Source organism: Homo sapiens, chromosome 4 (assembly GCF_000001405.40).
Source record: "Homo sapiens chromosome 4, GRCh38.p14 Primary Assembly".
Lineage (NCBI taxonomy): Eukaryota > Metazoa > Chordata > Mammalia > Primates > Hominidae > Homo > Homo sapiens.
The window spans coordinates 17,656,139-17,672,272 of NC_000004.12; the positions used below are offsets into that span (position 1 = coordinate 17,656,139).

At 44.3% G+C, this 16,134-nt stretch overlaps 1 protein-coding gene across 2 annotated transcripts in view; it reads right to left on the reverse strand.

Moving 5' to 3' along the window:
- FAM184B (family with sequence similarity 184 member B) overlaps positions 1-16,134 on the reverse strand; it is a 152,316-nt gene that overhangs the window by 26,833 nt on the left and 109,349 nt on the right. For both annotated transcript variants that reach the window (NM_015688.2, XM_047450066.1), the window contains exons 8-10: positions 8,424-8,521; positions 3,820-3,949; positions 2,212-2,424 (exon numbers count right to left, since the gene is read on the reverse strand). In NM_015688.2, coding sequence (NP_056503.1) covers positions 2,212-2,424; positions 3,820-3,949; positions 8,424-8,521 — 441 coding nt within the window. The remainder of the gene's footprint in view (positions 1-2,211; positions 2,425-3,819; positions 3,950-8,423; positions 8,522-16,134) is intronic.

Consider the following 16,134-nt stretch of genomic DNA (forward strand, 5'->3'; position numbering starts at 1 on the left):
TCAGGTGAGTGAAGCCTCCTGCCTCTCTGCCTCATGTGAGAAATTGGGGTCCACAGCATGAAGGAATAAAGCTCAGGGATACACAAAGGTCCATGTCACCCAGCAGTGAATACACCTGGGAATCTCCCCAAGCTGAGCTCTTGCAGATTGTAAGCCAAAGTGAAAAAAGATTTAGAAGGATTGAAGAAATAAGGAAACTGACATCTTTTTTGAATACCTAGTAAGTGCCCGGCAGTCCATGTGCATTATTTCCTTTCTTCTTTCTTTTTTTGCTTTGTTTTGAGACGGAGTCTTGCCGTGTTGCCCAGGCTGGAGAGCAATGGTGTGATCTCAGCTCACAGCAACCTCTGCCTCCCAGGTTCAAGCAATTCTCCTGCCTCAGCCTCCTGAGTAGCTGGGACTACAGGCACGCACCATGACACCTGGCTAATTTTTGTATTTTTAGTAGCAATGGGATTTCACCATGTTGGCCAGGCTGGTCTTGAACGCCTGGCCTCAAGTGGTCTGTTCATCTTGGCCTCCCAAAGTGCTGGCATTACAGGCGTGAGCCACAATGCTCGACTTTCTTTTTTTTAAAGCTTCTCTTATATTCTTATCAGGGGAATATGTGCAGATAGTATAAAGAGCCAAATAGTATTAAAAGAAAGGAAAATAAGCAGCCTCCTAGTCCTTTCCTCCTCCCTCTCTGTCTCCTGTCCTCGGAGGCAGCCATTGTCAACTCCTTGTTTCTTGTTGTATTTACCAGCATTAAAAAGACAATGTTTCCAGTCTACTGTATCTTGATTATTTTTGAGACTATGAATTGTCTTCCTACTACAGTAGATCAGCATTTTAGGTCTCACTCACTCTCTTCCATTCCTTTTACATAGTATACAATATATATTTTTAATATATTGAAGTATACTTCATATTTTCCTTATTGAGAATATGTAAATATTATTCACTATTGAGCTAAATGAATTATTATGATTGAACTTCTGCCTCATGCAGCTTTTTGTTTTTCCTTGCATTAGTAAATGCTGCATTTTTTATTTGTTTAGTTTCCTTTGGCTATCTGGCAAAGTCTTCCTACAACTTCTAAATGCTTTGTAAAACACACAGTGCAATTTTCCACATGGCCAAATCTGTCAGAGAATCCATCAGTTTTGCTTTCCCCTGGAGACAGCTCTTCCAGAGCCCTCAGTTCCTTGCTGCAGCCTGGACTGAGCTGTTGTCCAGCAGCAAAACCAGACTCCTCAAACCTTCCTTCTTGCTCCTGAATTGAATCCCTGGCATCGTAGCTCTCTTTTATTCCCTCTCCCTTGGTTTGCTCCCTTGTTTTTGTGGGACACCTCTTCAAGGAACTGCTTAAGACGGCAGGAAGGGAACACCCTCTGAGAAAGCCGTGTTTAAGCCAGGCCACAAGGTAGAAGGCGCTGGATGAAACATGCCTGAACCACCCCACCAGATTATCCATAGTTGTTTAACACAGTACAATTTCCCAAACCCTTGGAAAGGTCTTTGTGGCTGAGCTGTTCTTTTTTTTTTTTTTTTTTTGAGACAGAGTCTTGCTCTGTCACCCAGGATGGAATGCAATGGCATAGTCTTGGCTCACTGCAACCTCCACCTTCCAGGTTCAAGCAATTTTCCTGCCTCAGCCTCCCAAGTAGCTGGGATTACAGGCACCTGCCACCACGCCGAGTTAATTTTTGTATTTTTAGTAGAGACAGGGTTTCACCATGTTGGTCAGGCTGGTCTCGGACTGCTGACCTCAGGTGATCCACCCACCTCCACCTCCCAAAGTGCTGGGATTACAGGCATGAGCCACTGCACCCGGCCTGAGCTGTTCTTTCTCAATTCTGTGCTGCTCTCTTCGTTTTTAGCTGCAGGACTGAGCCTGACTTCCTGGCGTGTTCATGTACGCCACTGCTCTAGTCATGAAAGCAAGTCGTTCTTATGCCACCAAGGTCGCAAGCAGGTGGGGAAACGTAGCACAAGAAGCCCAGCAGACCTAGCCCGCTTCCTTTGCCATTTACTAGCTGTGTGACCCTGAGCAAGTTGCAAAATCTCTCTGAGCCTCTTTCTTCATCTGGAAAAAGGGAATACAATAATAACAATCTGGAAAGATGCTCGGGGGATTGGATGTCATGTAGAAAAGGGACGGCTTTGTGCATGGCAGTTCTCACCTAGCAGGTGCCCGGCACAGAGTAGACGGCACAGTCATTCCCTCACCTTGAGTTCCTGATGTCTGGCCTTCTCCAGCATGCGCAGGGCTCTCTGGTGGGAAGCCTCGAGCTGGGCTTTCATGGCGTGGTTCTGCTGAGTGGTCTCCTGGAGCTCACGCTGCAGCTTCTCCCTCTCCAGGTCCGAGAGCTGCTTGAGTGCCTGCAGGTCCTCCCTGTAGTTGCTGGTGCACTGCTCCAGAGCCTGCTGCATCTGTGAGACCTGCGCACAAGGCATCCTGCCCTCAGTCTAAGCCCCTTGCCTTTCCTGGGATGTTTTCTTCAAATAAAAGCTTTCTAAATGTTACCTCCATGCAGCTGAGCCTCCTCTGTCTGTAGAGACTCTGAAGGGATGGAAGCTGCAAGCTTTAAGGACCTGGGGGTGGCCAGTCCTTCCAGCTAGGGCCACAAATGCCAGGAAGGAGGAAAAGAGGGGTGGGGACATCAACCTTTCAAGAGAAATCACTAGGGGACTGATGCCTTCCAGGGACCCACGTGGCAGCCCCCCTCCTCCCTCAGGTGCTGCTCGAATCTGGCTTCCTCACTAAGGATTCTCCTGATAGCCCCATGTAGTACTACCTCCCCCAACTCCACATCCCCCATCACAGGACAGCCTCCCAGAAACCTCTGCCCTGCTCTAGTTTTCTTTTTCCTGAGCCATCATTACCTTAGAATGAACTACGTGATTTACTGACTTCTTATGTCAACCATTTATTGTCTGTTCCCACCTCCATTGCTAAAATATACATATCATTATATATAAAATATCTTTTTTTTTTTTTTTGAGACAGGGTCTTGCTTTGTTACCCAGGCTGGAGTGCAGTGGTGTGATCACGACTCACGGCAGCCTCGAACTCCCAAGCTCAAGCGACCCTCCCGCCTCAGCCTGCCGCGTAGCTGGGAGTACAGGCACATGTCACCATGCCCGGTAATTTTTTTTTATTTTTTGTAGAGACAGAGTCTTGCTATGTTGGCCTGGTTGGTCTTGAACTCCTAGGCTCAAGCATTCCTCCTGCCTCAGCCTCCCAGAGTGCTGGGATTACAGGTGTGAACCACCACACCTGGCCATAAAATGTAAGGTATTTTGTCTGGTTTGTGCATTGATGAATCATCAGTGGCTCATAGTGAGTGCTCATTAGCACAACAGGTTTTTTATTTTCTTTTTGAGACAGAGTCTTGCTCTGTCACCCAGGCTGGAGTGCAGCGGTGCGATCTCGGCTCACTATAACCTCTGCCTCCCAGGTTCAAGCAATTCTCCTGCCTCAGCCTCCCGAGTAGCTGGGATTACAGGCGCCCGCCACATACCCAGCTAATTTTTGTATTTTTAGTAGAGATGGGGTTTCACCATGTTGGCCAGGCTGGTCTCGAACTCCTGACCTCAAGTGATCTGCCCCCCTCGGCCTCCCAAAGTGCTGAGATTACAGGCGTGAGCCACCGTGCCTGGCTGCAACAGGTTTGGAATGAATGAATAAATAAAACCAAGAATCCCACTTTGCCCTGGTCCTGTAATGCCTTCCCAGCTTGGATGTGAATCAGGCCCTGCATGCATTTCCAAGTTTGTAAAAAGGAGGGGGCAGGATCTCAGGAAGGGGGCACATCCCCACCAGGGTTGTCCTACCTGGGCTTGCAATTTGGCCTTCTGGCTTTGCCAGTCCTCCTCTAGACGCTGGATTTTGGATGTTTTCTCCTTCAACAAAGAGCCCAGTGGAGGTTGTGGGTCACTTCCCTCCTTGAGAAGCACTTTGGTCCTTTGAAGATAAGGATGCCACAATCACAAAAGATCCTAGGGCTAGGAATGACACTGCCACTCCGATAACGTGCCAGCCACTGTGCCTGGGAGGAGAAAGCTCCGATAGCAGTTAGTGGGGATTAGAAACATCTTGCTTGGCTTTCAAAAAGCAACCTGCCATATAAAGTGTATTATTGTACTTAGGATACAATCGGGAACCACCTGATATCTGTTTAGCAGGAACCGCCTGATAGCTGTTTAGCAGGAACCACCTGATATCTGTTTTAGTGGGTTCTTAATAAATGATGATCAACTGTCAGAATGACTGAGAGCTTAGAGTTACTGATATGAGGTCTTTGGGGGCTCCAAAAAAGAGATCTCTATGGTCTTAATTTTGCAGCTTTTTCTGCATCTATAAAAACGACAACAACACTTCACTTTAATACAGTGTTTTGCACTCGTCAAAGCATGGTCACACATTTTACTGGTGTCCCCAAGTACAAATAGGGGGATTATAAATAGGCCTCCACATATGCAACATGAACAAGGAAATGCTAGTTTAAAGCTGCAAAAGTTTCTGCATTCTAGATAAGATGCTGACAAATGTCTTTAGAAGAGACCAGAGCTCCCTTCCTTAATTCGGAACTTTTGAACCAGCTGAGAATTTCAAGTGTGATCGGTTTAGATTGGGATGTGAAGTATTTATCTTGTTTGACAGCGTGAAAGGATGCCACATGGTGGGGTTCTCTGGAGAGATTGCCAGGTGATGAGCAGCATCTTCTTCCCCTGACAAGGACATCAGGCCAGAGCTCCAGAGGTGGGGTTTAGGGTCTCGGGCTGTGAGAAAAGGCCATGAGAAGGGGCACTCTGCTTGGCAGAGGTGAGAAGGCCCAGGCTGGGGGGTTAAGGAAGAGACAGACAATGGGGACCCCGAAAGGAAGGGTCTGATACTAGAAGCAGCATAGGAAGGTGGCCAAGAGAATGGTGCAAAAGCCAGACTACCCAGCTCCAAATTCCAGCTCTACAACCCACTCAATACGGGAGAGAGTTTAAAGATCTCACTGAGATCTTGGCCTGATCTTCCTCCTCTATAACATAAGGTTAATAATGCTGCCTTTTCCATAAGGATTAGTAGAGTCAATATCTATACTTAAAACAGCGTCTGGCACATAGTAAGAATTACTTAAAGAACTAACTACGGGCTGGGTGCGGTGGCTCATGCCTGTAATCCCAGCACTTTGGGAGGCAGAGGCGGGTGGATGACCTGAGGTCAGGAGTTCGAGACCAGCCTGGCCAACATGGTGAAACCCCGTCTCTACTAAAAATACAAAAAATTAGCTTAGTGTGGTGGCAGCCACCTGTAATCCCAGCTACTCTGGAGGCTGAGGCAGGAGAACCGCTTGGACTCAGGAGGCGGAGGTTGCAGCGAGCCGAGATCACACCTATTGCACTCCAGCCTGGGCAATGAGAGCGAAACTCCACCTCAAACAAACAAACAAATAAAACTGTACATATTAAAAGAGAGAAGTTTTCTTTCTCTGCATCATTTTGATTATCTTAGTTTATCCTCAAGTCTTTCAAAGGTGTGCAAAACATAGCCACCTTTAAGGAGCAATGAAGCAGGGATACCTGGGTCTGAACTCTGGGTATGAAACCAGCCCAAGGGTTAGGAGGCCAGAGAAACTGGAGGAGCAGCCTCGGTCAAGAGTGAGAGGTGGCACCACCAGGTAAGCACTCCCAGTGAGTCCCAGGAGAGGGGAGGGGGCTGAACTTTCTCTCAGGATAGGGCTCAGTTATTATTATTCTTTTTAATGTTTTAGTAAAATTTACATGTAGTGAAGTGCACAGATCTTAAGTGTACAATTCAGTGAGTTTTGATAAATATATACAACCATGAAACCAACATCTCAATCAAAATAAAGAACATTTTCATTACCCAAAAACTTCCCTTGCAGCCAAAGCTTTGATTTCCATCACCATAGATCACTTTTGCCTGAGCTTAAGCATCATACAAACAGAATCACGTGGGATGCATTCTCTTGTTTCCAGGTTATGTTGCTCCTCATCATGACTTTTGGCCTCATCCATGTTGTTGTGTATGTCAGCAATTCATTCTTTTTGTTGCTGTGTAGTATTCCATTACATGAATACATTGTAGTTTGTTTATCCACTTTTCTACTGATAGACATTTGGATTGTTTACGCTTCTGGGCTATTATAAACAAAGCTGCTAGAAATAAACGTGCCCAAGGATTTTTGTGGATATATATTTTTTTCTTTTTTTTTTTGAAATGGAGTCTTGTTCTGTCACACAGGCTGGAGTGCAGTGGCACAATCTCGGCTCGCTGCAACCTCTGCCTCCCAGGTTCAAGTGATTGTCCCGCCTCAGCCTCCTGAGTGGCTGGGACTACAGGTGTGTGCCACCATGCCCAGCTAATTTTTGTATTTTTAGTAGCGATGAAGTTTCACCATGTTGGCCAGGCTGGTCTTGAACTCCTGTCCTCAGGTGATCCACCGGCCTCGGCCTCCCAAAGTGCTGGGATTACTGGCGTGAGCCACTGTGCCCGGCAATGTTTTTCGTTTCTTTTACTTAAATACCTAAAAGTGGAACTGCTGGTAGGTATGTGCTTAATGTTTCAAGAAACAATCAAATAGTTTTCTAAAGTGATTTACCATTTTAGACCCTACCAGCAATGTATGAGAGTTTCAGTTGCCCTGGATTGTTGCTAACATTTTGTGTTGTCAGACTTCTTAATTTTAGCCATTCCAGTGGGTGGGAAATGGTGTCTCACTGTGGTGGTAAGTTGCATTTCCTGATGACTAATGATGTTAACCACATGTCCATGTGCATATGAGCCACTCACATATTTTTGTTTTTCTTTTTTTGGGACAGGGTCTTGCTCTGTTGTCCAGGCTGGAGTACAGTGGTGTGACCACGGCTTGCTGCTGCCTCAACCTTCCAGGCTCAAGCAATCCTCCGACCTCAGCCTCTTGAGTAGCTGGGACTACAGGCATGTGCCACCACGCTCAGCTAATTTTTGTATTTTTTTGTAGAGACAGGGTTTTGCCATGTTGCCCAAGCTGGTCTTGAACTCTTGGGCTCAAGCAGTCCACCAGCCTTGGCCTTCTAAAGTGCTAAGATTACAGACATGAGCCACCATGCCCGGCCTCACATATATCTTTTTTAGGGAAGTGCTTGTTTGAGTATTTTGTCCATTTAAAAAATAGGTTTGCAGCACATGACAAAGATGCCCTCTCTCACTCCTGTTCAACATAGTATTGGAAGTTCTGGCCACGGTAATCAGGCAAGAGAAAGAAATAAAGGGGATCCAAATAGGAAGAAAGGAAGTCAAACTATCCCTATTTGCAGATGACATGATCCTATATCTAGAAAACCCATAGTTTTCTATGCCCAAAATCTCCTTATGCTGATAAACAACTTCAGCAAAGTCTCAAGATACAAAATTGATGTGCAAAAATCACTAACATTCCTATACACCAGCAACATTCAAGCTGAGAGCCAAATCAGGAACACAATCCCATTCACAACACACACACACACACACACACACACACAAACTGTAGTTTGTGACAGAGCAATAACACCTGACCCTCACCCAGGAGTCAAGCTCATGTAAGTCCTGCTGATATGGTTAGGTTTTTTGCCCCCACCCAAATCTCATCTTGAGTTGTAATCCCCATAATCCCCACGTGTTGAGGGTGGGACTTTGTGGGAGGTGATTGGATCATGGGGGCCGTTTCCCCCATGCTGTTCTTGTGATAGTGAGTGAGTTTTCATGAAATCTGATGGTTTTATAAGTGTTTGTCATTTCCTTCTACACACTTTTCTCTCACCTGCCGCCATGTAAGATATGCCTGCTTCCCCTTCTGGCATGATTGTAAGTTTCCTGAGACCTCCCCAGCCAAGCAGAATTGTGAGTCAATTAAACCTCTTTCCTTTATAAATTACCCAGTCTTGGGGGATTCTTTATAGCGGTGTGGAAACGACCTAATATACCCGCAGAGCCTGATAGAGCCAATCATAAGGGTAGCTCATCTATGAGCTAAATCTTTGATATTTGGGGGTGTTTGTTAGAGCAGCAATAGCTGACTGACATAGGTGGTATAGGTGGGGATTTCCTCAGGATCACAAAGCTTCCTTATACCCCCTAATTAAAGAACACTTGGAAACATAGGGGCAGAGGTTTTGGACCAGTGCAAGTTTGAATCTTGGAAAGGTTTGCTAACTTCTTTGAGCTCCAGGTTCTTAAGCTAAAAAATGGCTTCTCTGGGTTGTTGTAACAATTAAGTAACACAGTTTATGTGAAGCCCATAGCTGTGCTGAAGACATACAAGATATGCTTGTTGCCTCCCCAAGCATGCTGCAAGGAGCAGTGATAAATACTTGAGGATAGAATGAATGAATGGATGAATCCTTCCACATCTGAGTCCTCATTCAATGGAGCACTCAGAAGTCTGCATGTCCTCCTGTACCTTTCTTCTTCATCACTGCTGGTTCCTTCTTCAGCTGCTAACTTATCTTGATACTCCTCTCCTCTCGGCGAAGTTTCATCCAGCTTCAAGCATGGATCCTAAGGCCAAAAAAGAAAAAGAAAAAAAAAAAAAAGGCAAGATGAGCTTAAGTACAGCTTCATGATTCAACCTGTGGCTTATTCAAATCAGAGAGCAGAGAAGAGGGAGCCCCCAGCAACCCACTATCGGTGCCCTGCTTGCAGGGGATGCCAAGGCTTGTGATGATGACGTGACTAGAACAGTGCCTGGCTTACTATGATTAATGCCAGCCCTGAGCCCTGTATCCTGTTTTTCAGTCTATGAAGCATTTCACACTGCTGACAAAACTAAAGCATAAAGAGGGGAAGTAACCTGGCTAGGGTGCCACCATCAGGGAGGAGTGGAAATGAAATATGCAACCGGATAATAGGACCCTGGGGACTGAACTCTTGACCACTTCCTGGTATGGTTCCATGCATAACCCTCAGAGAGAGGTCCTTGTTTCCTTGTTAAGCCTGCTGCACGGGGCTGTTGTGAGGACCTGAGAACAATGCTGGCTCATGGCTAGTGGTCAGTAAGTGTGAGTGAATGGTGTTACTATTATATCCGTTTAAGAGTTTGTAGTCTGCTGTGTCCCATTATGTAGAATCAGAAAACATGGAACTTGCTGAATGACCAGAAATGGGGTATGGGAGAAGAATATGGGAACGATTAGTTAACAATGAGGCTTCTGAATATTTTCTGAGTTGAATTTGCTCATGTTATCATTCTCTCCTTCCCACAGAGATACACAGGTGAAAAAGACCTTGTTATTTTGATTTTTCTATTTGTCATAACCACACTGTCCATGAAAACAGTATAAGACAGGGTAGGAACAGATTTGTCTCACGAAATAGTGATAATTGTAACCTGTGCTTTTCATTAACTAGTTGTATGGCCTTGAGCCAGCTTCTTCCCTTTTTTGGACCTGAGTTTCATCAACTGTGAAACAAAGGGGCTGGCTTATATCTGTAGTGAAACTGTGTTCCAGGGATCCTGGGAGGTGTCTCAGGGGTAGGAAGGGGCAGAGCTGAGGCTGGAGGGTAGGGCCTTGGGCTCCCATCCACCCTTGATCTGGAACAAAACTGCTTTTATTGCCTTTCCACATACTGTATTATCTATAAAAGGCCATCAATGTCAAGACCAATGAAGACCTCCACATTGCCAAATCCAATGGTCGATTCTTGGGTCTGCACTAACGGGGACTCCCAGCAGAACTGGAAATATTGATGATTCCTTCCTTTGTGCAGCCTTCATTCCTGGGCTTTCTCCTCCCCCCGCCCCCCAGTTGCTGCTTCTTAGTCTTCTCTGCTGAAGCCTCCTCCTCTCCTGCTTCTCAAACTACCACATGTGCAGAACCAAACTCTTGGTTTTACTCCTCCAAACAACAAGCATGCACCTGGCTCAGGGCTTTGCACTGGCTGTTCCCTCTTCCCTCTGATATTTGCATTCTTTGCTCCCTCACTTCACTCACTGCAACCAGCAGCTCATCCCTGGCTTAAAGCTTAGGCTCTGCTACCAGACGACCTGTGTTTAAATGCCAGATCTTTTACTTATTAACGATGTGACCTTGGGAAAATTACTTAGGTTTTCATGAGGATTAAATGAGCTGATACAATGTAAAGTCCTTAGAACAGTATTAGGTACCTAAGGAACACTCAACACTCAAGTTTATTCCCTGGAATTCTTTTTTTTTTTTTTTTGAGATGGAGTCTCACTCTGTCACCCAGGCTGATGTGCAGTGGCGCAATTTCAGCTCACTGCAACCTCTGTCTCCCAAGTTCAAGCAATTCTCCTGTCTCAGTTTCCCAAGTAGTTGAGACTGCAGGTGCATGCCACTGTGCCTGGTTCTTTTTTTTTTTTTTTTTTTTTTTTTGGTATTTTTAGTAGAGACGGGGTTTCACCATGTTGCCCAAGCTGGTCTTGAACTCCTGAACTCAGGTGATCTGCCCACCTCCGCCTCCCAAAGTGCTGGGATTACAGACGCAAGTCACCATGCCTGGACTCCCTGGGATTTTTGTTCCCTGGACACCTTCTCTAAAATCTCACCCCCCTCACTCTCTTTTCCTCACCTTGCTCTATGTTTTTCTCACAATACATATCACGGCCTAACGTTGACTTGTCCACTTTTTAATTATCTGTTTACCTTACTGGAAGGTAAGCTCCATGAGGGCAGGGGCTTTGCTCACCTGTTTCCCTGATGCCTAGAACAGTGTGTGGCACATGCGAGTCATTACTAAATGAATAAACACAAATATGTCACGGGCCACTCCAGATAGCAGGGGGACCACTCTCTCCCATACTTGCCCTACACCCACTTTTTTTTTTGTTTTTTTGTTTTTTTGTTTTTTGTTTTGTTTTATAAGATTTCACTCCGTCACCCAGGGTAGAGTACAGTTGCAAAATCATGGCTCACTGGAGCCTCGACTTCCGAGGCTCAAGTGATCCTCCCACCTCAGCCTCCTGAGTAGCTGGGACTACAGGTATACACCCACCATGCCTGGGTACTTTTTACATTCCCTGTAGGCACAGGGTCTTGCTATGTTGCCTAGGCTGGTCTCAAACTCCTGGGCTCAAGTGATCCTCCTGCCTCAGCCTCCTAAAGTTCTCATATTACAGGTGTAAGCCACAGCACCCACTCTTCCCCCACTTTACATCCCATGGAGAGAAGGGCCTGGGATTGCTGCATTGTCATGAAAATCCCCTGGGCATGTGGCTGGAGGGTGGCGTGTGGAGACAGCCATCACCCAAACTTTGAGTGTTTTCCTGTTCTGCTTTAGAAGCCCTTTGTGCCTTTATGATTCATAAGTTCACGTTCTGTTTAAATCATTTGCATTGCCTCTAAATGTAGCAGAATACCATGTGATGCCCACTTCCAGAGAATCATCATGGAGATGGCACTTGGGAATCCACTGCCCACTGTGCCCAGGAGGACCTGTCCTGGGGCACTCCAAAGTGATGGCCTGAGAGAGAGTAAACATCTGCTCTGCCTCCCGCAGCTTTTCTCCCTAAGCCCTTATCTTCCCCCTGGGGTGGATATGTTCTGAGTTAACTCTGCTAAGCCAGAACTACACTTCCCAGGACTTTCTTCCCTACATACTCTGGACCATGTGACTTTGCATAAAATATAGAAGATGGAAGTGAAGCAGCAGTCATTTCCTTGTTATGCTTGCATGCTTGGATGCTTGAATGCAGGGCACCTGGTGCTGTTGCAGCTCTCACATGTCATTATTGATCTACTCGCTCACCTTATTGGCCAGGGCAGGTGCTGGGCTCTCAGCTCCTTTAGCTCTTGCTGGTTTCTCTTTTAGTTCTCTCTATCCTGGGCCTGTGTGTACAGCTCCTGGGGCAGCAGCCAGGCCTGAAGCTCCTCCCACACCTGCCAGATCCTCCTCAGGGTTCTCCCTATCCCCAGGCAGGTGCATGTCTAGCTCCGTGATGAAGGATGCCTGATTCTCCTACAGGTCACCTGCATTAGCAAAGGTGGAGCCTTGTTGGCTTTAGATACTGACACAGTTCAAGCCCAGCCTTGTGGGCTGCAGTTCGTTCTTGATCTTCCTCAGTTCACTTCTGTCCTTCTTTCCTTCCAGCGGCCCGCCCTGCTGAATTTAGGCCCAGCACCAGATAAAGAAGCAACAGTTGAACGTAAAGTGTTTAGCTGTCTCCTTCAATTATGCTAGGTCAGTTCCTAAATTTAATCTCATATCCTATATCATTCTTAGTAGCTTGTTTCTGTGATCAAATCCTAATTGATGCACCCTTTAATCTCCAGATCCTACTTATTCTTCAAGGCCCTATTCAACTGTTACTTCCTCATGAAGCCTTCACAATCTTTTTTGTTGCAATTATACCTTCTCCTCTTGAAGTTCCCATAGCAATTTTTTTGCTACCACAATTTTCTTTTTGTTATTGTTGTTTTTTGTTTTGTTTTTGAGACGGAGTCTTGCTCTGTCATCCAGGCTGGAGTGCAGTGGTGTGATCTAGGCTCACTGCAACTTCCACCTCCTGTGTTCAAGTGAGTCTCCTGCCTCAGCCTCCCAAGTAGCTGGGACTACAGGCGTGTGACAACACGCCCGGCTAATTTTTTTATTTTTTTGAGTAGAGATGGGGTTTTACTGTGTTGGCCAGGCTGGTCTTGAACTCCTGACCTCAAGTGATCCACCTGCCTTGGCCTCCCAAAGTGCTGGGATTACAGGCATGAGCCACCGCACCTGGCCTTGCTACCACAATTTTCTTACAAATACTTATTGATCACTTACTATGTGCCAGGCATTGTTCTAGGAACACAAGAATAAACAAAACAACAAAAGTTTTTCTGCCTTGTACTGTTATAGGAGCATTTTCTTTCTCCCTTCCAAAACATAAGTGAATGTAAAAGTAATCCCAGATATAGTTTTTAAAATGTTATAAACCCTACAGCCAGGGACTGAGAACACGCTGCACAGCTATTTTTCATAGCCTGAGTCCTCCCTCTTTACTCTATGTAACTAGAAACTAAAGTTGAGCTGTTTGACATGAACTGGTCACAGGGCCCAGTGAGGTTGGTTCATTGTTGTGTATTTTCAAACATGTTGTGACTAAGCAGATTATAACCTACATGTGAACCAGAGGCTAAAAGGTCCTCCTGTGCCTCCTAGTTTCAGGTATTTTGGGCATAAAAAAAATCTCAGAGATCTTTAATTCCCACAAAGCCCAGCAGCAAATAACATAGTCTAGAAGCAAAATAGCTTTGTGAGTTACCTGCCATAAATTCAGGTTCTGTATAAACCTGGGGAAATTGCATGGTGAACATGGAAGAAAAATAGATAATCAGATGAGCATATGTACTATTACAATATAAATACATAAATGATGTATGATTAATTAGGTCCAGGTCTCAAAAGGAAAATTCAAGGTTACAAAGAAATTTTGTTCAATAGAAAGCACAAAATATGTTGGCAAAACAATTCTAATAAGACCAGTAGCTAGGACAAACGTGAACTGGCTAAGTTCTACATGGAGAGCTCTTCTGATAAAAGGAATTGTTCACTGAAATGCTATAATAATGAAGCTATAGCCCTCTAACGATAGAGCCTGAAAACATAAGGCAAAATGTGCATATCTGTAGTGAGAAATGGGAAAATATATAATGGGAGATTTTAATATACATCTCCCAGAAACTGATGGATTAAGCAGACAAAATGAGCTAGGATGAGGAAGATTCGAACAAGATCAGCAAGCTAAACCTAATAGCTAAAAAAATAAACCAATACCTACTAACATTTATGTGAGGTCATATAGTGAATATATCCCAGAGCCAGGATTCAAACATACATGTTTTACTACCACATCAAGAATATATGCTTTTTTTCCTATCTATAGGAACTATTTAAAATTGACCCTGAATTGGTTTACAAAGCAAATCTCAACCCAGTGCTCACATTTTACAGACTGTGCTATCTGATGACATTGCAAGAACATTAGAAAGCAATAAGAAGGTAGGTTTAAAAGAATCAGATAAACTTTAAAACTCTGGGACACAGATAAGACATACACTTAGACGGAAATTTATAGCTTTAAATGTATTCATTTGTATTTAAATGTATTCATTAGAAAACATTCAAGAATTTAGAAAATGAACAAAAGAATAAATCCAAAGTAAGTAGAAGAAAAGAGAAATAAAAGACAAAACAAATGAAATAGAAAAAACACATCTGACCAACACATCTAAAAGCTGGCTTTTGAAAAGATACATCAAACTTCTGGCAAGCCTGATCAGGGAAAAGGGGAGAAAAAACTTAAAGCAACATGAATAATGGACAAGGATCTCATGACAGTTATTAGAGATTAAAAAGAATTCCAAATGTACTCTGAGACAACACAGAGCCTGTGAAAGGGAATCTGCAGGATGTAATTTCTGGGCCACTTTATTGACCATGGCTATATTTAAAGGAGTCCTGGGCAGGAGTCCAGAAAGGGGAGAGGACTGAAAACACTAAAAGGGCTGATGCACCCAGATAACAACACTGGCTCCCAGCTACACTGCATTTGTCTATTTCTATACATTATCTCATGGATGCATATGGCTCTATGAAGTAGCCAGGAAAGGCACTGCCATCTTTGATTTACAGATGGGGAATTAAATTGGAGAAGTCCAGCCATTTGCCTCAGGTCTCATGGCCACTGGAGGGTGGCACAAAATCTAGAACCCTGTATTTTCTGACTCCCATCCACGTAATTCCATATCACTGCACTGACACTCAGCTGTGCTGTGTTAACCTGATTGTCACCTACCAGCATCAAGGCCTAACTGGATGTGAGTTCAAACCATGTTGTGCAAATACCAAGTATCTGAAAAACTGCAACTCAAAAATCAAACTGAGAGGAGTAATGTCAGCAACATGGTAGAAGGAAGTCCTGATCCCTTTTTTCCCCAATAAGCATATCAATTCAGCAATAGTTCATGTACATATTCCCTTTGTAAAAAATCAGAAACTAATCAAAAGGCTCCTGCACCCCAGGAGAATGCAAAACCAGACTCACTAAAGCTGGTAGGGAGATTCAGAACACACTCTTGCCAAAGATGCTGCCCCTGGTGAAGTACCATATGATCATGAAGAGACCCCCTACACCAGCTTCAACCAGAGGAGGAAAGGAGTTAATTGGCATGTCTAGCACCCCAAGTTTTCTAAGGGGGATGTCCCTAGAGGGCTAGCTTTTGTCTTGCTGCTGTTGGAGCTCTATAGGGTCCATCACAGTCTAGCCACTTGGAAGAGAATGGAGGTGGAAACTTGGGCTGGTAGATACCATAGCTCCTCCTTGGCTCAGTGCAGAGTGAGCAAATGAAAACCACAGCTTCCTGCTTCTTACTGGGAGGAAATGAGTTGGTAGAGACCCCCATTACCTGGCCAGGCTCATTAATGGGGGATTCTCTTGTACAAGATCAGCCTGGGAAGACTGGGAGAGGTGATTGCTTTGTCTAATGCATGGACACCAACACAGAGAGTCAAAGAGAATAAAAATCAGGCAAAGATGTTCCAAACAAAAGAACAAGATAAATCTCCATAAATTGACCCTAATGAAATAGTTATATGATTTACCTGACGGAGAATAAAAATAACTCTGATAGAGTTGCTTACCAAGATAAAGAGAATAATGAATGAACAAAGTGAGAATTTCAACAGAGAGGATATATTTTTAAAGTACCAGAAGAAATCATGGACCTGAAAACACAATAACACAATAACTGAAATGAAAATTCACTAGAGGAATTTAATAGAAAACTATATCAAGCAGAAGAAAGGATTAGTGAACTCAAAGACAGGTCACTGGAAATAATTCAGTCAAAGATGCAAAAAGAAAAAAGAAGAGAGAAAGGACAAGAAGGCTTATTTAAAGATAATGACTAAGAAGTTCCCAAATCTGGAAAAGGAAATAAGCATGCAGATCCAAGAAGCCCTAAATACATCAGATAAGATGAACCCAAAGAACCATACTGAGACAGATAATCAAATTGTCAAAGGTCAAAGACACAAAATTTTGAAAGCAGCAAGAGAAAAGCTATTTGTCACATATAAGAGAACCCCCTCATAAGACAATGAACATTTTCCAGCAGAAAACTTGCAGGCCAGAAGGGAATGGGATGATACATTCAAAGTGCTAAAAAAAATGCCAA